The sequence below is a fragment of the Homo sapiens genome, chromosome 6, assembly GCF_000001405.40.
Source record: "Homo sapiens chromosome 6, GRCh38.p14 Primary Assembly".
NCBI classification, from domain to species: Eukaryota; Metazoa; Chordata; class Mammalia; order Primates; family Hominidae; genus Homo; species Homo sapiens.
In genome coordinates this window covers 111,820,066-111,842,881 of record NC_000006.12, presented here as the reverse complement: position 1 = coordinate 111,842,881, position 22,816 = coordinate 111,820,066, and the positions used below count along the sequence as shown (strand labels likewise).

The following is a 22,816-nucleotide window of genomic DNA, read 5'->3' as shown; positions in this document are numbered from 1 at the left end:
GAAGTTGCTCCATTTTTCAGTGTTTCTTTGGTTTTAATAAGTCCCAAGAGAAATGATAAAAAACCTCCTAGATTCTTAGTGTGGGGATAATTGTCTTGTGGGGGGAAAATCTAATTCTAAGTAATCGAGGGTTAGAAATTTGAGGCCGCATCAGGAATCCAGCTTTAAAGCCATGTCCGCATGATTTCTATGCAGCTGGTTAAGAGGTGGGAAAATTAATTCATACAAGTTTTTTCTTTTGTGGGAAGAATAAGATTTCCGGGGTCAGAGGCCAGCAGTGTTTACATGGGGTATCCAAAGGCCTCACAGTGCTGGTTGCTGGGGTGACATGAGGATGTGTCTCCAGTGTGAATAGGGGGACATTGGCTTTGGGGTGTACCGCGCAAATGCGTGTACTGGTTGCTTAAGGGAGGTGAGGGAGAGAGTGAAGAAGAGGAAGGGAAGAATAGCATAAGCACAACTCCCTGCCATTTGTGGGAGCCATTGCTTCCTGAGTGGGCATGGGCGGGTTGCAGGGGCAGGACTCAGGTGCTTCTGGTGCCTCTGAACCCATGGACACTGGACAGGGCAGTTCCTATGTGCAGACGGGAATTGTTCCTCAGGCCCTCCCTGATACATGTACTACAGGCTGCCAGCCTCAGAAACTATAGGAGGCCAAAGTGGCCTACATTCTTCATTTACCTTTCTCAACCTCACACACAGATTGACCCATTCTGCTGGTGATCAGGCAACGGAGTGACCCAGCCTCAGTGTATAACTGAGTAAGGGTCACGTTTCACACAACCCACTTTTCTGGCGACTGGGGACCAGGAAAAGGAAGTGGCTTTGACTTGCGGGCAGGGAGAGAAAGAGCAAGAATGCATGCATGGGTGTGTGTGTGTGTGTGTGTGTGTTTAGGAGGAAGGGACATGCTTAGAATTCTGTTTTAGACTCAAAGGCAATCATTGTTAGTCTTGGCCCAAAAATAGTTGTTATGTATCATGCGTAATAACTGACCAGCTTTCTTTTATGTAAATCCCTGGATTGTAAAACTAAGCGGTGCTGTCTAAGAAGAAAAATATACCTACCCTCTGCCAATTTGAATTTCCAAAAAAAAAAAAAAATCCCTCTTCCTAGACATTCTAAATTTAGGAGGATATTGATAACTGATCTAGAACAACTGCAGATAACAATATTTTCAGCGTGATTCAAGGAAAGAGTTGAAAAATTGAGGGTTCCTTGTTTAGTCCTGGATATAGAACAGTTCATTCATTCTTTACACATTAACGAACACTGGTAGGCCAACCACTGTTTTAGGCCACATGTTATCTTATTCGGTTGCCCCACGTTGTATGTGAGGAAAATAAAGCTCAGCCAAAGGGGAATGAATTGCCCAAGGACTAACATCTAGGAAGCAGCAAGATCCAAAACTATATCTCAGACTTGAAGCACCCTTCTCTTTCTCCTCCACTGTGGATGCTCTCTTGTCCTGAAGCCATCATTATCAGCCTCATGTAATTTAACTGGTATTTTTTTACACATCTTTCATTTTCTCTTCACTGAATTTAAAAGGTCTTTCTCCCTTATTTGTGGTTTTAAAAGTAGTAATGATGTTTTTATCAAGGAACAATTGGAAACCTTGAAAAGAGAATCACCTCTTTAACCTGACCTGGCCCTGCAAGGTGGTCGCCCTGTGAAAGCGTGAAAATGACTTCCAGGGGTGGCATCTGCAGGCAGTGGGAGTGGGGGAAGCCCATGAGACACTCATTTTCTTTCCACTGCTGGTTCCCAGACTTGGGGATCATTTCGTATATTCTTCATCTGAGTAGCATTCATCATTCCCTATGACAAAAGCTGGATGTTGCCAGGAGAGAGTGGGGAGAAATGCTGCCCACGTTACAATGGAGAGACAAGACGAGCTCTCACCTACATACTTTGTACCATTTGTTTTTACACCGAGGCTTTCTCCTGTAGCCATGAGATACTGCATAATTTGTTTCACTGCAGCCAGGCCTGCTGTGTAGAAGTTGGAATCATTTGGTTGTCTGCCTTGCATAGACTTATTATCTGCTGAAATTGCATGTGAAGGAAAGATTATTAATAAAATATATGTGAAGAATGGCTGAAAAGATGCTTTTGTCAGTGCCCCTAAATACTTTTAAGAGCAGAGCTGCAGTTTTCTAAGAGTGGTGTTGTATAGGCCATAAAAATACATAAAAATTTAAGCTTTTCCTTTAAAAGGTTATTACTGCCCACTTTTAGCCCACAACAAAATTTTATTTGAGCAGAAAACCTTCTTTGTTAGCTTGCTGTGCCTGCCGTCACAAATTACCACAAACTTGATGGCTAAAAACAACAGAGATTTATTCCCCCACAGTTTTAAGAGGTCAGAAGTCCAATAGCAAGGTGTCAGCAGGGCCACGATACCTTCAGAGATGGAGAGAATCTGTTTCCTGTCTTTCCAGCTTCTAGTGGCTGCAAGTGTTCTTGACTTGTGGCCACATCACTCCAGTCTCTGCCTCTGCCCTCACATTGCCTTCTCATCTGTGTGTCTTCCTCTGCAGCCCTCTTATAAGGATACCTGGGATGGCTTTTAGAGCCTGCTGCATAATCCAGAATAAGCTCTTCCTCTCAAATCCTTAACTTTATCACATCTTTGCCATATAAGGTAAAGGGATTAGGAAGTGAATACCTTTTGGGGGGCATTTTCTGCCTAACATACCTCAATTTGGGAATTTCTGTAATTTTCATTTATCGAAACATAAAGCTTGCAACCCCTTGTTTCACTCATTACTTCAGTCAGTTTAATTTTCTTAGAAGGGGCCACTTGGAAGATCTAAGAACTAGTCTCTTCTCCAGTCCCCAGAGCGGGCAAGGCCACGCCTGTCTTCTTTCTCAGATTGAGGTTTATGTAAAGAAGAGGAATTATGGGCTCTGAAAGCTGGGAAGAGGCCTTGGAAATCATACCCTCTCAGTCTTTGGGGGAAACTGGGGCTAGAGATGTAGGGTCACCCGAGTCTGGAGCAGAGATGGGACAAGCACTTATTACACTAGCCCACACCTTCCGCTTTGTTCCTGCAGACCCCCAAGCTGTCTCTGGTGATACAAGCCTCTAGGTCATCTTCCATTTGAGAGCCCTTCAGTACCTGAAAACCCAACCCCTGAAAAATCCTTTTTTCCTAGTCCAAGAGCCCTAGTTCTTATAACTTTCTTGCATTAGCTGGTGTCAGGAATCCCGTCATTCTGGTCACTTCCTCCTGGATACATTGCCTTTATATCACTGTCTTTTTGAAAACATGGCTCTTGGACATGAACACGGTACTTACAAGATGGTTTGACCAGTGTAGAGTAAGAGGTTACTATCAGGTCTCCTTAGGTGCACATTTTCTGCATCAGTATAGGCTATACTGATGCAGACCAATATTACATCTCTCATCGAGTCACTTTATCATATCTTCAGCTTGCATTGAGCTTATGTGTGATAAAAATCCTTAGGACTTCTTAAGTATGAATTGCTTTAAACTCATCTCCTTTCCCCATGCTACATAGGAGATCTGGATTTCTGTCAGTAGCTGGATGGTATAGCTTGGGATCCAGAATATAGACCAGATAGGGATCTAGAGAACAAACAGATCCATGAGCTGGGGCATGCTCATGGGAATGGTACCAGCAGCAGAGTAAACAGAAGGCAGTTTGGATAATCTGGTAAGACATAGTACAGAGGAAACTCTTCTATAGGTGGCTGTCTAGATGGACAGAAGTTTGGCAGCAGAAATGTATGGCTGGGCATGTCGTAGAGCCAGATGAGAGGCATGCAGATGTGCAGGGACTTCAGTTCAGAAGCTAATGCAAAGAGCTGAGTCCAAAAGAATGAGTTATAGAGTCAACTACTGAAATGAGGTAGGCCCCAAGACAGATACTTGAGCCCAGAGTAAAAGGAAGCCCCGGTCTGAAGTCAGAATCGTAAAATTGATATGATTCTGAATGTCTGTGGCTGAAAGCCATACCCACCCAGAGTCTGGAGACAGGATCACTGGCAGAACTTGTAAACAGGATGAGTTGTTTCCATTCAGTAAACAACTGAACGTGAGGCAAGTGATAACACCATCCTATCCACACATACCATAGATTATTTACAATTGAAAGCAAGATTTTATCTGTTAATTTGGAGAGGAAGATGGTGTTCTTTTGGTCAGTTGTGGCTGTCATTCTAACCTATTTAAGTCTTTTAAAATCTCTATTCTGTCGTCCAATTAATTAACTATCTCCTTTCAACTGTGAATTATTTGTGACTGCTATAAGCACATCTTGATGAAAACATTGACCAGGGACAAATGTGCAAAGCCCTGTTCCAAGGACCTCTCTCCAGGTCAGTGTTGTTCTTCTGTGATGTTAGTGTCTTTGGGTATGGCCATTCAGTCACTGAGGCCACTAAAGTGAATTATCACTTGGACCAGGGTTTCCCATCTTGCTTGGATATGTTTTTGAGTGACTATCAGGTGCTTTGCTGACATCAAGGTATTCTGCATTTGTGATCTGTCATAATAGTCTTGTGAAACTGCCCTGAGATGGAGCAGTACCATGGGAAGGGAAAGTTGGTAGGGTGCTTAGTCAGTCACTACTGTGAGTGGAGAGGTCCCTGGATGTCCTCATTGATGTTAGTAGGTTTAAATCTTGAGTCCCACTTCCTGTAACATACCCAAATATTAGCCCATGGGTGATTTTTTTAAAGGAGGGACTGGAATCTTGCATTCAGATGAGGAGTACTAATCTTACTAGGGTAATGAGGGTTAAGTGTTCACCTCTACTAAAGACTGATCCTCCTTTGTGGGTATGTGTGGTCTGTGGAGAGCAGCTCCCACTGTTGGGTGAGCATGATGGCTTTTCGGAAGATCTAGGGGCGTTCATTAAGTTGTGAAATGTGTCACTACTGAATACAGTCAGAGTGTAAAGTGAAAGAAAGTGAGATGCTGCGTGGATCAGTGATGATAACAGAAGGGATAAAACAGCAATTTGTGCATTTGCATAGTCCCTCCAGATAAGGCTGCCATGAGAAAGTGAGATGGTTTCAGGGTGGAACATGAGGCAGCGTCGTGTGGTGGAAAGTATGTGAGCCTTGGGGGCTTGAGGAAGTCCTGACCGTCTCACCAAAGAGCTAGGCCACGGGAGAAGCTGACAGTCATCAAGAGTAAGGTGCAACTGTGAAGAGTGTCTGAAGTGGAGGCACAAAGTGCCGTGAAATCCCCAACAGGAGTTAGATGAAGAGATGCCAGTGAGGGGAGAAAATCATCATCATTTACCAACTTCTACTTGTTGTACCCCCTTTCTTTGGTCAGTACTGGCCATGGATGGACTAACTCCCAACTTTGACGTCGAGTGGATTCATACACAGGGTAGAAGAATGGCAAGAGGGAAGGCACCTGTCCGTATTGTTTTTTCTGTTGCTGTGTGTCAACATAGATAATGCTACGGTAATTGAAGACAAAACCTTTGTGTCGGGGGAGGATTTTGTCCATCTTTAGAATATTCTAAAGAGTAGGAGTAGGGGAAATGTAATTTAAAAAAAAAGCAAAACTGAAGTACCTGCCACTTTCCCCATTCTACTGTTACCAGATGAGGGAAAAAACATTTTTTTCTTTTACAAGAGAGTTTGATGTACATCAAAGTGCCGCTTACCGCAAAAAAGTAAATTTGATAATGAGAAAAAGTTTAAACAGCCCTTAGGTATTGAAAATAAAGTAACTTATAAAACCCACTCGTAAAGTTTAGAAGTCGTTATGGTGACCGCAGTGAGGTGCTAGGTGTGGGAAGGCCTCACTGGTAAAGTGTCAGGAGTGTTTTTTTTATATATGGCCCATGAACTGGTAGGACAAAAAACTTTTGACAGTTATCATAATATTTATTCTGTTTTCTTATATTTGGTATTAATAAATATTGGCTAACTAGCCAATCATATATCTTTACAGTATTCCATTTTTACAGTGGCCAAGAAAATATAATTAGGCTTTTGTGTTTTCTAGATGATACTGTTTAATAACAACAACAAATACTATATAATGTTCTTGGCTCATTTCAGAACCAACAGAGCAAAATGTGTCCGTTCAGAAAAAAGCATTTGTTGTTTTTCTTTGTTTCTTTTTTGAGACACAATCTCACTTTGTCAACCAGGCTGGAGTGCAGTGACACAGTCACGGTTCACTGCAGCCTCAACCTCCTGGGCGATCCTCCCACCTCAGCCTCCCTAGCAGCTGGGACTACAGGTGCCTGCTACAGCGCCTGGCTAATATTTTTTATTATTTTTGTAGAAACAGTGTCTCCCTATGTTGCCCAGGCTGGTCTTGAACTCCTGGGCTCAATTCATCCTCCCACCTTGACCTTCGAAAGATCTGAGATTACAGACATGAACCACCGCGCACAGCCTAGCATTTGTTTTGTTGTTGTTGTTGTTGTTGTTGGAAATATAATTTAAAAATTTTTCTTTTGGGGGCTAAAGCCCAAATCAGTTAATATCTGAGGCCTATTTGCATGTAAATATTAGGCAACCATCATTCACTGGATGTTTAACCCATGAGTATCACTCCATATCTCAGCTGAGATTCGAGATAGTGAATGACAGGTTTTCATATTTTCCGTCATATCGCCATCTCCTATGATCATTGAGAGCGTTCTTCACCCACATTGGAGGAATTGGCCACCTCAGATGCCTTTCTCTGAAGGCCTACTGTGTTTTCTCTTTCCTCACAACCAGGTCCCTGAGACCAGTTCTTGTCACCTTTCACTTTGGAATCACCTTCACTCACCTGGCATTTCAGAGTTGTCTTTCAGTTTCTCTGTTTCTTGCTGAACTCAGAATCCTGCATGGAGGGTATCCATTCAGCCTGGCCCTTTAACTGTACCAGTGTCTTGCTCCTCGTGGAGCCAAAGTTTGCTTTACAGTATGCCACCACCTGCAGAAACCTGTCCTTACTTTTCTTGTTTTTGTTTTTCACATTCATCCTGTGGGATATGATGAGGTTTCTCTTCCAATAATCTGATCAATCTTTTGTTCTTTAATTCATAGAACCCCTCCCCCCACACACTTTTCTCCTTTTTCTCCTTTTTTCCTTTTTGCCTTTGTTAGATGCCCAGGCACGCCACAGTACCAGGCGTTATCAGTACCAGCTCACATTCCTTTCCTTATTTGGAAAGAGGACTAACTTTCTAGCTCATTACAGACACCCCTTCCCCTTCCCCTCCACTTTCTTTTACGTGCCCACCTTATCTAAAAAAAAATCAAATGTTTAGCCAACTGGGATTAGTTTAGATTGTATGAACCGACCCTGGCCAATGGGGAAAGGGTACAGGGGCAGGACTTGCTTCAGGAATAAAGGCTCTCATGACCCTTTGTTCAGGTGTGTTCTCATGGCGACTGGCCAAGGAGGCACCCCTCTGCGCAGAAGTAAAATTGCTTTGCTAAGAATTCTTTGTTCGAGTGTTCAATTTCCTTAGGATTTTGAGCATTATTCCTAACAATCCTTCACTTTAGTATCACTTTAGTATTTCAGTGATCAAATGAAAATAGGGTCATTAAAGTGAAAATGGAGATTTGCTATTTTGTTTTCATGTTACAATGCAGATGGTGTGAAACATTTTTTAAGAAAAACCAAATTACCTAGATTCAGATCTTTAGGACAGTAGTTACAGTTTCTCTGGTTGTTATAGGTAATCTACTAAATAGTTGAGAAAAATTGAAATGAAAAAACAGCTGAATTCACTTGCCTTTGAATTAACTTACCAATTTTAATTTTTGAGTAGGAAATAAGAAAAGCTTTTAGAATAAACATTCCTGAAATAGAATAAATCCAATAAAAATTCCTATTTTGTCTAAATTCAGGCCATGGTACCAAGACCAGGAACTCCTAACTGTGGGTGAAGCAGAAAAATAAACTCTGAGTTTACTCTTAAAATGGGGATAGGGGAAGGTGGAGAATTATGCCAAGTTGAGAGTCTGGGTGTCTGAGAGATGGGTAGGTCTGGGATTATTCTATAGGAATGAGGAAGGAAGAAGGGGTGGTTTGGGGAAGTCAGTAGTAGTGAGGTACCACTCAGTAGTAATTGGGGCAGCAGTAATACAACTGATAAACTTTTGTGAACAGGAGGCAACCCTGGGGTTGGCTTGTGGGTGGGAGACCTAGGCCAGCACTGCCGCCTGCAGCTCCTGAGTACAACTCAGCAAAAGGTGTCTGCACTCTGGGCAGACAGATTAGAAATGGGCACTCCTTGCACGTTCCCTTGCAGCAAGGTTGGCACCACCTTCTGTACATCCCTGCTGGGTTTCACCTTCCCATCAGCAGTAGCCTGGATAAACGCAGGTGAGTCCTTGTAGAGAACAGAGGTCATCAATGTTGAGTCTTCTGTTTGATTGGAGCTGGGAGGCAGAAGGAGCAAGTGCTCCAACTAAGACGAGTCCAAGCCCAAGGCCCTACAGAGGGTCAGAGTACTGGGAAGGAGGCACTGAGGAAGGTGGGCCCAGGGCTCAGGGTAACATAAGAATTTTTTTTAATATGAGGCATACAAAGGAATAGGTGTGTGTATGTGTATCCACACTCACTCACACATCTACATTGTGTGTGTGTGAGAGAGAAATAAACAATCCTCTTACTCATCCTGCAGCTTGGAAGCCCCTGTGAGTTCACTCTCCACACCCTTCTCCTTCAATGGAACCAGTATTCTAAATTTCATGTTTATCATTTCCTTGCTTTTCTCTGTAAGTTTGTTTCCCTAAACAATTTATTGCTAACTTTTATTTACCTTGGGACTATATATAAATGGTCTTCTTCTACCATTTGCTTATTTCCATCAACATTTGTTAAGATTCATTCAACATTTTTAAGATTCATTCCTACTGATGCATGAAGCATCATGCATCAAATTTATTTATCTTCACTGCTGTCTGGTCCACTCATTGTATGAGTGGAAGACCACTTTATCCCTTCTCTCAAGAACAGTTGGGACATTTCCAGTTTTGCTATTTAAATAGTGTGCTATGAACATTCTTGAATGTGCATCCTGCTGCAGTTTTTCTAGAATGGGTGCCTAAGGGAAGAATTTCTGGGTCTTAGAGTGTGTGCACCATCCACTTTGCTGAATAATAGCAAATTGTTTTCCAAAGTGGTTGTACCACTTGACATTCGCACGAAAAAACATTAACTTTTAAGGCAAGGGCAAGTACAAAGGAAAGAAAGGAAATGTGGAGAGCTGGGGAAATGAAGAGAAGGATGTAGATTTTAAACAGCCATTATGGAAAGCATGAAAGGTTAGCTTGTGTGGACTGTGGGTCACATTGTCATCAGGGAGTAGATTCCATCTTGGTATCTACGGGTATGGAAACACCCGTTTCTCTCTGTTTTCACTCAGTTTTCCCTGATCAGCAATAATCTCCAGGGCTCTGAGTAGTAAATGCTGCCAAGCATGTAAATGTGCCGTTTCTACATCAAACTGATGGTGGCATGGATCCTAATAAAGCTTTTAAAACAGATATCTACGCAGAGGCACACAGATATTTTGGAGATTACTTTCCCCAAAACACAAGTGATTTTTCTGACAGCCATGCTTTGTGTCTTATAAATTCAGTAAACTTACACTGGATTTGATGTTACTGTCTCTTTTACTTTGTAGGTTTCTTTGATGAGAACACAGAGCTTTCCTGTGGTTGCTCATTCACTTGACCTGAGAAAAATGGGTCCATATTTTAAATAGCAGATTAAGTGTGAAATAGGAATAGTCCCTGGTGAGCATATTGGCTTCATTTGTAAGTTCTAACCACTCTGATATGTAAAACTGGTGGGATTTGTTTTGTTTTTAAACATTTCCATTCTTTCATATCTAGATTTTAGTAAGCCTAACTTATTTTGTTAGCATTCCTATGAAACTGAAAGTAGAGCATTAAACCATTAAAAGCACATGTTCTCTGGAGTCTCAGAAGTGCAGCTTTTTTTAACTTGTTATTTCTGGGTCACCCTTCATTAATAGCATTCATCAGATTTACTTGATCCCAGGCCAGAAAGATTAGTGATGGTGGCATTTTCAAAATATTTCTGTCAGAGTTTTTAATTATATATTGACTAGTATTGTCTATTTGAAACTTTGATGGTGACAGTACATATTTGAGAAGGCAGCATGGTATTCTGGAAATAATTTGGAAATGTTGTTTTTGGCCAAAAAAAATGGAAAAAACCTCAATGTTCCCCATTTGAGATTTAATTATGTAAACTGTGATACATCTATTAAATTGAATATTATATATTAATTAAAATGATGATCAAAATTGCTAAATAAGTTGGACAAATGTTTAAGGTTGTTAAATAGAAAAAAAAGCAGTATACCAAATCACATGCGGAATGTGAAGATTGGATAGGAAGAAGTAAAGCTGTCTCTATTCACAGGCAATATGACAGTTTATGTAGAGGAATCCTAAGGAACGTATAAAGCAAATACTAGAAGGTACTAAAAAGTAAATTTAATAAAGTCACAGGATAGAAGGTCAATAGACAAATCAATTGCATTTCTGTATATTAGCAGCTAATAGCTGGAAAATCAAGTGAAGGAAACAATTCTGTTTGCAGTAGTAACAGAAAAATATGAAATATCTAGGAATGAATTTAACACAATCCAGTCCTTCGGCGCTATCCCTGGAAGCACTTGTGTAATGGATGCTAACAGTCCCAGAAAACTCCCCAGGGACTATACTTTGGTTTTGTATCCCTTATCAGTTTTCCAAGGGAAAAAGTTATATCAACTTGCATAATTGTTGTTTACCATCATTAATGTATGGATTATAATGTCAATTGATATTCAACAAGCAGCACTTCATAATTTACCTGATAATTTACCAAGCATGTTTTCCTCAAACTTTGGGTGTAGCGTGTAGTCCTGAGTGACGGATGGGGGCCAGATTCAATCTCAGGTATAAGATATTCACTCAGACAGTTGTATTATTCTTTATTCTTTCTTCCTCCCTCTCTCTAGGGTGTGATGAGGCATTTAATCTATCAGACACCAGGAGGATGTATGTAATGAATTTCTACATGCCCCAATCATTTTAATGTAATCATCCTTCTTTTAAAAGGCTTCATTAAGTCTATTGTTAGGATTGTAAAACTACCTAAGAGAGACAGGAGGGCTTTCCTCATTTTCAGAATTCAGACAGTTTTGTTAATTGCGTAGCTTTAGGTGAACAGTAATTAAATGGGTTGTGAGAAAGTGCAACATTTATTTATAGTAACATAAGCATGTCACATATTTATAGTCATTACTGCACAGTCTACTTGATAACATCCTTTTGAGAGGGAGGGTCACGACTGTTAGAAGTAGCTTCAACAACTGTTTTTGGCAAGGTCCTTGAATATTACAGATTTGTGAATATTGCAGAGCCAGGTACCCTTGTGCTAAAGAAATCCTATACATATTAAACTTTTTGTGAGGAACCTATACTTGCAAGGTTTTAAAATATGCTTTTAACATTTTACATGTAAAATATTTGAGTTAAGTATGTTTGCCAATGTCAGTCGGAGTCTTTGGATTATTATACCAAATTTTGTACCTTAATTTTAACAAGATGATAGAATAGTAACAGTTATTCTTTGGTTCTTAAATTTGTTAATGAATACAGATTTAGTGCATTATTCTTAAAGTGCTCTAACATGGCACATCTATCAAGCAGATAGGAGAGAAACTTTCCATCAAGTGTTGAGGATTTTAATGCCAACAAAATCACTATTTGGGGGCCTTTTGAGGATCAGATGAAAGCTAGAAATCTTCCCCCACAGAAACCTGTACATGTATACGCACACTGATACAGAATGATATTTCAGGAGGTCTTGATTGAGACCCCTGCGTGCCTATTCAAGGACCCAAAGATATGTGTGGATTACACAAATAGCCCCCCTTCTGTTTTGCACTTCCACCCCCTTGCCTAGTCTCTCCCATGCCCATGTCTACAGTGTCTACAATGTCTACAAATCCATCTTTATATATACCTTCTCTGCATAGGACATTTTTACTCAATATCTTCATTTTACCAATCAGTCTAAATGTGACAGAAACAGAGATCCCTTTTTCACTACCATTGATTTCCAGCTCATCCCCTTATATCCTCAGTTACTAATATTATAGGTTGTCATAAACTTCTCCCTCTGCCCTATCTCCCAGAGAATTTATAGACAGTTCCCTTGGAACAAGCATGCTTTCTTAACTCCATGCATCTAGTATATTGATAACTTTTTATTCTGTGTTCTTTCAGCAGAGCTACCACTTTTGTCCCTTCTGTTATTTGTCCACACCACCACAGTGCAAGCCTTAAAACATCTGTCCTTTAAACTCTCCCAGTCATCTTGCCCCTGGACTCTCTCCCAGCACTGTGCTACCACACTTTCTAACTCAGTCTTCCCTTGTATGTGGTCTGCCACACGCAGGCACACACTTTACCTTGCTCTCACCTCCTTGGCCACCTTCAGTGGTTCTCTATCACTGGACACAGCAAATTTTAAATTGCCAATTTATTCACTGTGGGAGCTGGCTCTCCTACTCCCATTTCTGCCAGAAACTATTTTTCCAGGTTCCTTGCATATCTGTCTCAAACCACTGTTATCCCATCTTCCTGTACTGCTGACACTCTGCCCCTGTAAGATCATTAGTCTGTCAACAAGCCATCGTTGGGCATCTCACATTTTCTGTGTATTAAGTCACTGGGCTCTGCAGGAAGATGGGTCCCCACGACTTGGCAGCCTTATTTCTGTGGAGGCTTGCACTTCTCTTCACCTAGCAACTTTTCCATACCATCTGTCTGGCTCCATTGAGTCAGTAGTTCAATAAAGATACTTTAGAAACACTTTTTAAAAAAATTATGGGGGTGGAGGACCAGGAGAATACTACAAAGGAAATGAGTCCCTGACATCCCCATGTGAGCAGCCTCATCTTCTGAGGCCAGCTGGTCTGGAGGCCAGAGGCTCCTGCTTTATTCAACAAGGAGCATGGAGACAGTGATCTGTTCTTCTCCACATCCTAGCACCAAGCCAGGCACAGGGTAGGCCCTTAAGCATCTGATGAAGGAATCATGCATGTATCCGTGGCATGTCTATTGCAGTATTTCATAGACTTAATGGAGCTGGAAGTGACCTTTGAGGTTATCTCTTCCAACTACATCATCCGACAGCTGAACAAGCCGCAAGTCAGGGAAGCTAAATAACTTGTCTAAGGTCAGACAGCAGTAAAATCAGCTTCTCAACCTATGTTTTCTGACTTCCATTCTCCCAGTCTCCCTGTTTTTGCTCTACTGGAAGTGCTCAGTCTATGGTTCTTTTCCTTTCTTTCATTTCTGTGCTTATTGGTGTCTGTTCTGTGCTTAACAATCTGAGCTCCTGATGTGAGAGACCTGGGCTCTCTTCCTTGTCTGCTGCACCTTAATAAGCATTAGTACATACTTACTAATTATCCTACGTTTTGAATAGCCCTTGGTACTTTTCAGGTTCTTTTACAAATGTTTCTAATTAGATTTTACTACAGACCGGTGAGATAGGTTGAGCAGGTATTTTTCCCACACATCAGGTGAGAAATCAGAGGCCCGGGGAGAGTACTACTTGTTCAAGACCACCCTGCTGATGAGTGACACAGTTGAGGATAGAATCTGATTCTCCTCTATGAGAGGATGATGGTGAGTTAAGACTGTTTTGAAAATCTGACTTCAGGCTCTGGAATCTCGCCTGCCTCTATGTAAATGTAAAAAATAGGATTTCATGTTTTCTAACAGTTTTCCATTTAGTAGCTCATTTCGTAAAGCATGTTCTGAAGCACATTGGTCCCAGGAGATGTGTGGAAAATGGATTCTGTGGCCAGATAAGCTGGGAAGAGCTGCTTGTTATATCCCCCTCTTGGGGATTCCCTGTGCACATTAACATTTAAAGGCTCTGAGAAGTCCTACTGCAAAGACTGTTTAATGTGTTGTTTTTTTAATTGTGGTAAAACACATGCCACTAAAATTTACCATATTAACCATTTTAAAGTGTACAATTCAGTTGTGTTAAGTGTATTCACATTGCTGTGCAACCAGTCATGACTACATCTTGGAAAACTTAAAATCCATACCTCTTAAACAACAACTCCGGATTCTGCCATTCCCCTAGCCCCTGGCAACCACCGTTCTACTTTTTGTCTGTATAAATTCGACTCCTCTAGGTACCTCATGTAAGTGGATCATATAGAATGTGTCCTACAACTGGCTGATTTCATTTAGCATAATGTCCTCCAGGTTAATCTATGTTGTAGCGTGTGTCAAAATTTCCTTCCTTTTTAAGGCTGAATAATATTCCATTGTATGTATAGACCATATTTTGTTTGCATTCATCCATCAGTGGACACTTGGGTTGCTTCTGCCTTTTGGCTATTGTGAATAGTGTTGCTATGAACATGGACGTACAAATATCTTTTGGAGACCCCGTTTTCAATTTTTCAACTAGATACCCAGAAGTAGAATTGCTGGATCCTATGGTAATTTTATTTTTAATTTTTTAAGGAACTACTGTTGTTTAACATATTTTTATACTCAGTTCATAAACTTGTTTGATCACAAAGTTCTTTTTCCACATCACACCTTTGGGTATCCCACAGAGCATGGGTTTTTCAGAAAACACTTTGGGGAATCCTGAGCTCAGTAAGCAATTTCTGCTTGCTCCAAGGGGCCAGAAACCTCAGGATGCTGGCTGGGGAATTTGGCCATTAAGTTTCCAGCCCAAGGACAAGGTCAGCAGTGCAGTCCCAGGAGCTGCAGAAGAGGAGGAAGTTCTCAGGGTACACAGTCAACTGTAACCAGGGTTCCTCCGCTACTCTAGAACAACACTGTCAACTTGACACGGAGTGAAGCGGCCATTGTGGTGCTGAGGTTGTTTTGGACTGCACTGGTTGGACAGCATCTTTACTGGCCAAGAGAGTAAGGAGGGCAAGCCTGCCTGCCTCTGTGCAGTTAGGGGCCTGGGGAAAGCTTTATGATGAGAAGTGTCAGATTTCAGAATCCACCGTTTCCCCCATCTCCCCCAAGAAGAAAGAGTACCCTTAGTCAAAATCTAAATGGGCTCCTCAGCAGGGCTTGTTGTGTTGACTCAATCTAATTGGTCTTTAATGTGGTTCTTAAATAGCTGAGGAATAATTGTGAACACTGTAATTGTGTGGGTGGGTAAAACTTTCAACCAAGTTGATGGAAAGGGTATGTGGGGGCATGGGCAGTAAACTGAGGAAAGAAAAATAATTCTTTTTACCCCCAAAAAGCTGTCGTATACCCCCAGTGTCACTGTGGTCAGCTTTTCTCCAGGACCAGCTCAGGAAGCCTGAGCCGCTGGTGACCCAAAAGGGGGCATTACATGATTGAACACCTCAAATCCCCAGTGTTGTTCCTCTACACACTGGCTTAAAGATGGGCATGAGCCGGAATGGTTTTAGGGACATCTAGAAGAAAGTAAACTGGGAGGTTCCTGTAGCTGTTGCAGCTTGGTGTTAAGGATGAGAAAAACTATGGAGAGGACATAGAGCCCCAAAGAGTCTTTGAACCAGCCTGCAATAAGACCATAGAACACTCAGCTTCTTAATTTACTTGACTGAGAACAGATAATGATACCTCACATTGTGGGATGAGAATTTCATAAGCTCTCTGAGATCCTTAGATGAAAGCTGCTACTGATCCATAGACTATTATTATTATGAGACTTTACTTTTCTGTAAATAAATGTTACAGCTTCTTCTCTCTGACTCTCTTGCTCTAAATGAGGTGAGATTCAGCCTCTCTCGTTGGCCGACTCTTGCCCTGTCTCCAGGACCACAGTTCTGCGTGGAAGCACTGAGATGAGCTGGAAAGAGCTCTGATAAGGGCTCAGGAAATTCTGTGCAAAATTTCAGACAAGCAGCTTCCCCTCACAGCGCCTCAATTTTCTCATCTCTAAAGGTCCCTTTCTAAGGTCCCTTCCAGCTCTGTAGGTTTGTGATTTTATCAAAGAAACAGAACAAAAAGTCAGCTTCTAATTACAAATGTTTATTGGGTCCCTGGTATGAGCTAGGCACTGTTTTCGGTACATGGCCTAAATCGGTGAACAAGGTCACTTATTTTAGCTGGGAGAAAAGAGATGAGACAGTAAGCAGTAAATATTAATACATGAGTAAATTCTGTCATTGTTAGAAGGGGATATGTCCTATGCAAAACTAAAATAATGTGGTAAGGAGAATTGGAAATGCAAGCAAGAGTGCAATTTTAAAAATGTAACAAAGAGGAACTTTTCCATTATGAGTTACTAGAAGATCAAGTATGTCATTAAGGGAGTGGGGGCTATAAATCTCTCCTTTGGAGATTTTTTAGGAAGCGAAATTAGTCATGTTTTTGGATTCAGGCATATTCTTGTTTGAATGTAGAAGGGATAAACAGATTACCCTTTTGAAGGCTTTCTTTTTAAATGATTTAATGGTATGTGCAGGGGTAGCTCCAGAATTCATGTGTGTGCATAAATACACATACATACACATATACACATATATAGAAGTGCACACACGCGTACTTCTTAAGGAACAGTAAAAGCCAGAGTTGGGAGGCCCAGATGCTAACATACCTCCACACCAGCTCTGAAAAGGCCAACTAGTGTGCCATAATGCTGTAGCTCTCCCACCCTGCCATTTCACAAGGGAAAAAACTGAAACACCGAAATGCTAGCAACTCACAGAAATCCCAGTGAATCAGGGATGGGTAATGGAACCTGACAGTCCTCTGGCGTCTTCACTCCTCCCTGTATTCCTTTTTCAATGAGATTGGCAGCTCAGTTGTTTTCCCTTCGCCTTTTCTCTTGCTTGTCTACTGCTTCTACTCCCATGGTTGTATACTTAAATAGTAATGAAATTATAGAATACTCGCCCTAACTCTTAATGTATCCAGACCCACCCAATCCAGTGTCAGAATGATATGAGTCAAAGAAATACAATCTAGTGACAGTAATTTCAGAATAGCACATCTTGACTTGTCTTTCTCAATACCATAGAGGGATATAGAATTACAGCAATATTTCTTTAAGTCCCTCTTTTTCCCTCCAGCTTTCCTCACACGTTACAGCCCTTACAAATGAGCCCCCAAGCCTTTCCTAACTGTGGCCCACCTGCTCTCCCACCTTTCCTCCTGATTCTGCATCACAGAACTCCCCCAAACAGGTCAGGGCAAAGGGAAGAACCAGGAAGGCAAAGCCAGAGTGCACATGAGCAGCTGGGAAGAGTAAGCCTGGGAATATGTGTTACTAACTTCCATTCCCTCACACGACCATGTGTGTCTGCACTGCACTAGGCATTCTTCTATCTTACCTTATATAATTTAATGCTCACAGAAATCCTGTGTGGTAGGTATTGAGATCTTCATTTTACTGATGAGAAAACCACAGTCAGAGAAGCTTAGTAACTTGCCTGGTATCCTGTGATAGAGAAAATGCTAGGATTTGAGCCCAGGTCTGTATAGTTATCAAAACTGTGCTCTGTCTCCTATGTTGCTACCCTCTATAGAGTATAAATCCCAGAAGCTCTATGTTATTTCAGTTGCCAAATTAATAAAACTCGCTGTCTGGTGTTTATATTAAGGCAATTAAATTGGTTTTCAGCTAAGATCTTGAAAGTACAGTAGCTACATGGAAAAGAGGGTGCCTCCCACAAAGGGCTTGTGCACTGGAATGTTTGTCTTGTTCGGGACCATGGAGAGCTGTCCAGGCCTCCCTGCCCGCAGTCCAAAAAGATCCCAGCAAGGCCTGTGGACCACCATTCCTACGCATCAGAGGCAATGGCTTTCTGACTCTGTCAGTCTTCTAGCAGGTTTTACAACCAGTGGAGTGCTCATGTTAGGCCTGACCATCTGAGGCAATGCCTGCAATGCTCAGAGATGGGAGCTCAGAGGAGTTTTCAGAAGTAATGAAAACTTTAAACAATTCCTTAATCACCAGAATAAAATAAAGATTCTTTTTGACAAATGCATTGGTTCAGTTTATGAATTTGTGAACTTGATTCAGATAACCTTAGGAGTAAAAGTGTGCAAGACCTCATTTTGTGGCTACCTGGTAACACTTTGGCTGAAAGCTAGTGTTCATTTGAATAGTGAGTAGTGGAGGGGACAGGGTCTGAAAATGAAAGAAGGCATAAGAGACCTGAGAAGAAAAATAGCTAAACCCAAACCTAAGCAAATAAAAAGTGAAATTCAGAGTAATGACTGGGGGAGAGTAAAGCAAAATAGATGAGACAGAGTGAGCACAGAAAGATAAGTTAGAGGAGAACTATATGTGACCTGAAAACGAAGAATGCAAGAGAGAAAAATGTACTATAGATAGACAAAGGTACAGAGTCATGGGCAACAACATCATCTGATGTTAACAAGATGCAGTGTAGATTTCTCTCATCCATGATGGTGTCAAGGCTTTCTCCTAAATTTCAGGAGAAAGTTAAGTCTAGTATACAGGGAGCTTTTGCATGAGTTCTTTTTCCACATGCCTGAGAATGTATTAGTTACCTTGGGAGGAAAATCATTTCAAAGTAGAGGCACTAATATTTACCATCATCCACGTTGCCCCTTAATAGACTATGAAGAGACCAGAGCAGAGTGAAATGAGCTTAGGATAGATTCTGTGGCAGTGGCCCACCCAGTGATGTTATCACAAGTGAGTCATTACCAAATGCATTCTTCACATCTTGCAAAAGATGTTTTTCAACTTTCCAAAGTTTGCAGTGGGGATTTTTTAAAGACCATGTGCTCACAGAAGAGCAGTTGAAACTTTTCCTTTGTAGAGTTGCTATGCTTTTTAAGCTATTTGCCCAGTTTGAAATGTTATTTGACTTCTGAGTATTCTATATCCACAGCTGATGACTTTATGTACTCCTTGCTTTCAGTTCCTGAGGCATAATGTATGCCGAACTGATTAAAAATAGCATTCTAATGAAATGGTTGGGTGTGTTGTTACAATATACGTCAGCTACAAATGGGAACTTCTTTCCTCAGGAAATTTGATAAACTGAAAGTCAATGTGAGTGTTTATATATATTCTGTGAGAATGTTTTGTCCTTCCTCATGGCTTCCTTTTCAAAATGACCAGTTAATTTGGGCTTCCCACCCAGACACATATTTTAACACTTGTAATAGTTAGCTGAGATCTGTTATGTTAGCATGATACAAGAGCTTGGATTAAATGTTTATTAGCAGAGCCTGCGAGTGTGTAGAATCTTAAAGGAAAGCAGAGAGAGTCCTTTTTAGTTCAAATATTGGATATTTTAAAAGTAAGAGGGGATGATTTTTATCCCTTAGATCTTGGCCCTCAGCAACATGTGAAAAGCTTCCATTCTTTATAAAAGGGGGAAAAAAGTATAAAATTTTTTGCCTGACATTTTCTCCTCAATGCCAAGCTTACAGAAAGCCGTAACGCTTGAGGTGGCCCCCATATTTTGTCTAGTCCAGTGTTTTCTAAAAATTTGAGCCGGTGTTTAGAAGTCAGGATATTTCACATTTTTTTAAATGCAGATTTATGGCTTTTCTTTAAAAATAGGATGATCTAGCAGCACAAGGCCAACATGGCCTCTCAGCAGCCACGGCTGGGGCTGGAGCTGTGTAGTGACCACCTCTGTAGGTGGTTTCTGGGTCCTCCGTTCGGTTCCCTGTGGGTCCCCACACCTGTAGCCTATGGCCACAAGTGTTGGTTGCCATTCATAATCACTGTTAGTCACTGCAAATGCACTGTAGATTTTTGTAAAATTGACAAGAATTTTTCTGTACCCATCTGGTAACGTGAAAGACACAGAGGGACATAATCTCACTTGCTCCCAGCTCACCTCACTTGTGTGTTAGCCGCCCTGTGGCATGTGATGTGCACCTACTGCTCATCCCCTTACACCCCGTTTTTACCCTGCTGCAGTTGTATTTCCACTGCTGCTGTTCCACTGTAGCAGCCATGTGGAAATTAGAGCTTTCTCTTGTGTGACAAGCCCTTTCTTGGGTCCTCATGCTCCTCTGCCTCTTTGACAGTCAATGATGGTGTGGTTGACATGCATTCCCTCTCAACATTGTCCTCCCCTCGCCTCTCTGACTCTACTCTCTCTTGCATTTCCTTCTACTTCTCACTCATCTCTCTCAGTCTGCTTTGCAGCCTCTACCTCTACTGTTTATTTCTTTCTTTTTTTATTTTTTAAATTTATTATTTATTTTTTAGATTATTGTCTCTGTCTTTATTTTTTAAATTTTATATATATATATAATACTTTAAGTTCTAGGGTACATGTGCACAACGTGCAGGTTTGTTACATATGTATACATGTGCCATGTTGGTTTGCTGCACCCATTAACTCATCATTTACATTAGGTATATCTCCTAATGCTTTCCCTCCCCGCTCCCCCCACCCCACAACAGGCCCAGGTGTGTGATGTTCCCTGCCCTGTGTCCAAGTGTTCTCATTGTTCAATTCCCACCTATAAGTGAGAACATGCGGTGTTTGGTTTTTTGTCCTTGTGATAGTTTGCTGAGAATGATGGTTTCCAGCTTCATCCATGTCCCTACAAAGGACATGAACTCATCCTTTTTTATGGCTGCATAGTATTCCATGGTGTATATGTGCCACATTTTCTTCATCCAATCTATCATTGATGGACATTTGGGTTGGTTCCAACTCTTTACTATTGTGAATAGTGCCACAATAAACATACATGTGCATGTGTCTTTATAGCAGCATGATTTATAATCCTTTGAGTATATACCCAGTAATGGGATGGCTGGGTCAAATGGTATTTCTAGTTCTAGATCCTTGAGGAATCACCACAGTGTCTTCCACAATGGTTAAACTAGTTTACAGTCCCACCAACAGTGTAAAAGTGTTCCTATTTCTCCACATTCTCTCCAGCACCTGTTCTTTCCTGATTTTTTAATGATCACCATTCTGACTGGTGTGAGATGGTATCTCATTGTGGTTTTGATTTGCATTTCTCTGATGGCCAGTGATGATGATCATTTTTTCATGTGTCTGTTGGCTGCAGAAATGTCTTCTTTTGAGAAGTGTCTGTTCATATCCTTCGCCCACTTGTTGATGGGGTTTTTTTTTCTTGTAAATTTGTTTGAGTTCTTTGTAGATTCTGGATATTAGCCCTTTTTCAGATGAGTAGATTGCAAAAATTTTCTCCCATTCTGTAGGTTGCCCGTTCACTCTGATGGTAGTTTCTTTTGCTGTGCAGAAGCTCTTTAGTTTAATTAGATCCCATTTGTCAATTTTGGCTTTTGTTGCCATGGCTTTTGGTGTTTTAGACATGAAGTCATTACCCATGCCTGTATCCTGAATGGTATTGCCTAGGTTTTCTTCTAGGGTTTTTATGGTTTTAGGTCTAACATGTAAGTCTTTAATCCATCTTGAATTAATTTTTGTATAAGGTGTAAGGAAAGGATCCAGTTTCAGCTCTCTACATATGGCTAGCCAGTTTTCCCAGCACCATTTATTAAATAGGGAATCCTTTCCCAATTTCTTGTTTTTGTCAGGTTTGTCAAAGATCAGATGGTTGTAGATGTGTGGTATTATTTCTGAGGGCTCTGTTGTGTTCCATTGGTCTATATCTCTGTTTTGGTACCAGTACCATGCTGTTTTGGTTACTGTAGCCTTGTAGTATAGTTTGAAGTCAGGTAGTGTGATGCCTCCAGCTTTGTTCTTTTGGCTTAGGATTGACTTGGCAATGCGGGCTCTTTTTTGGTTCCATATGAACTTTAAAGTAGTTTTTTCCAATTCTGTGAAGATAACTATGATCCCTTTATCAAGTATTACATGAACTTTCAGGTTATGTTTTTAAAATTCAGACAGTACAGAGGTATGTAAAGTCTTTTTTAAAAAAAATTATCCTCCTTCCCACTCTGCTTCTCAGAGTTAATTAGTCATGGTTAACCCCTGGATAGTTGTCTTTTCCTGACCCTTTTCCATGTAACCTAGTTGTTTGTTGTTGTTTAACATAAATAGGATCGTTTTATAGCTACTGCTACTGACCCTGGTCTGCATAAATAGATGTCTACCTTACCTGTTTTATGATCTACCAGCTACTTAAATGTTGGTATTTCCCAGCATAGCATTTTGAATAATTCCAGTGCTTATATCATTTTTTTTTATAATTATGCATCTGTTTTTCCTAAGACTCTGAGCTGGTAATAATAGTGTCTTTTCATGTTCCCTTGTCTATACGTACCTGTAAATTCAGTGAGTGAATGAATGAATGTTGGCATTTTTGCACATTCAGTTAGATCATCCTAATTTATATTATGCAGAGAATACTAAATTATATCATAATTTAAATTCAAACGTAAATATCCTAAGCGCTGTAGTAAACATATTAGTATAATTTTTATAAGGTACAGTTAATCTATTTCTCAGGTTATTTCCTAATAGTAATATATTAATTTTGCTTTTGTCATTAAGATCACCATACTATTCAAAAGAGAATTCTGCACACCATTTATTTTGGTTAGGAGAAATATTGGCTAGTTGTTTCTGTTTTGTATATTTTGAATGGGTGTGTATTTTGGCATCTCACTAAGACAGTATTTTGTATGCAATTCATTCTTCATAAAAATATCATTTATCTTTAAAGGGAATATAAATGCATAATGGTTATATAAAGAGAATTGCCTTAACACAGCATCTCTTCATTAGGAAAATAGTTGAGGTTTATGAAGTGAGCCTTGTCAGATACAATTTGAGCTGTCTTGCTAAGGGTTCCCATTCAGTATCATGGACTGTTCACAGCCCTGATTTAAGGAGAAACCAATGAAAACATCTATCATCTGATAGC

At 40.7% G+C, this 22,816-nt stretch overlaps 1 protein-coding gene across 7 annotated transcripts in view, besides 1 other annotated feature; it reads left to right on the top strand.

Moving 5' to 3' along the window:
* The window catches only part of FYN (FYN proto-oncogene, Src family tyrosine kinase), a 213,121-nt gene that overhangs the window by 30,571 nt on the left and 159,734 nt on the right, over positions 1–22,816 (top strand). The gene's annotated exons all lie outside the window — the stretch shown is intronic.
* Positions 4,871–4,960: an enhancer, noted in NCBI's record as "active region_24954". NCBI's record gives its function as "activates an Ori minimal core promoter by ATAC-STARR-seq in GM12878 lymphoblastoid cells {active_cell/tissue: GM12878}" and the evidence as "EXISTENCE:reporter gene assay evidence [ECO:0000049][PMID:35858748]".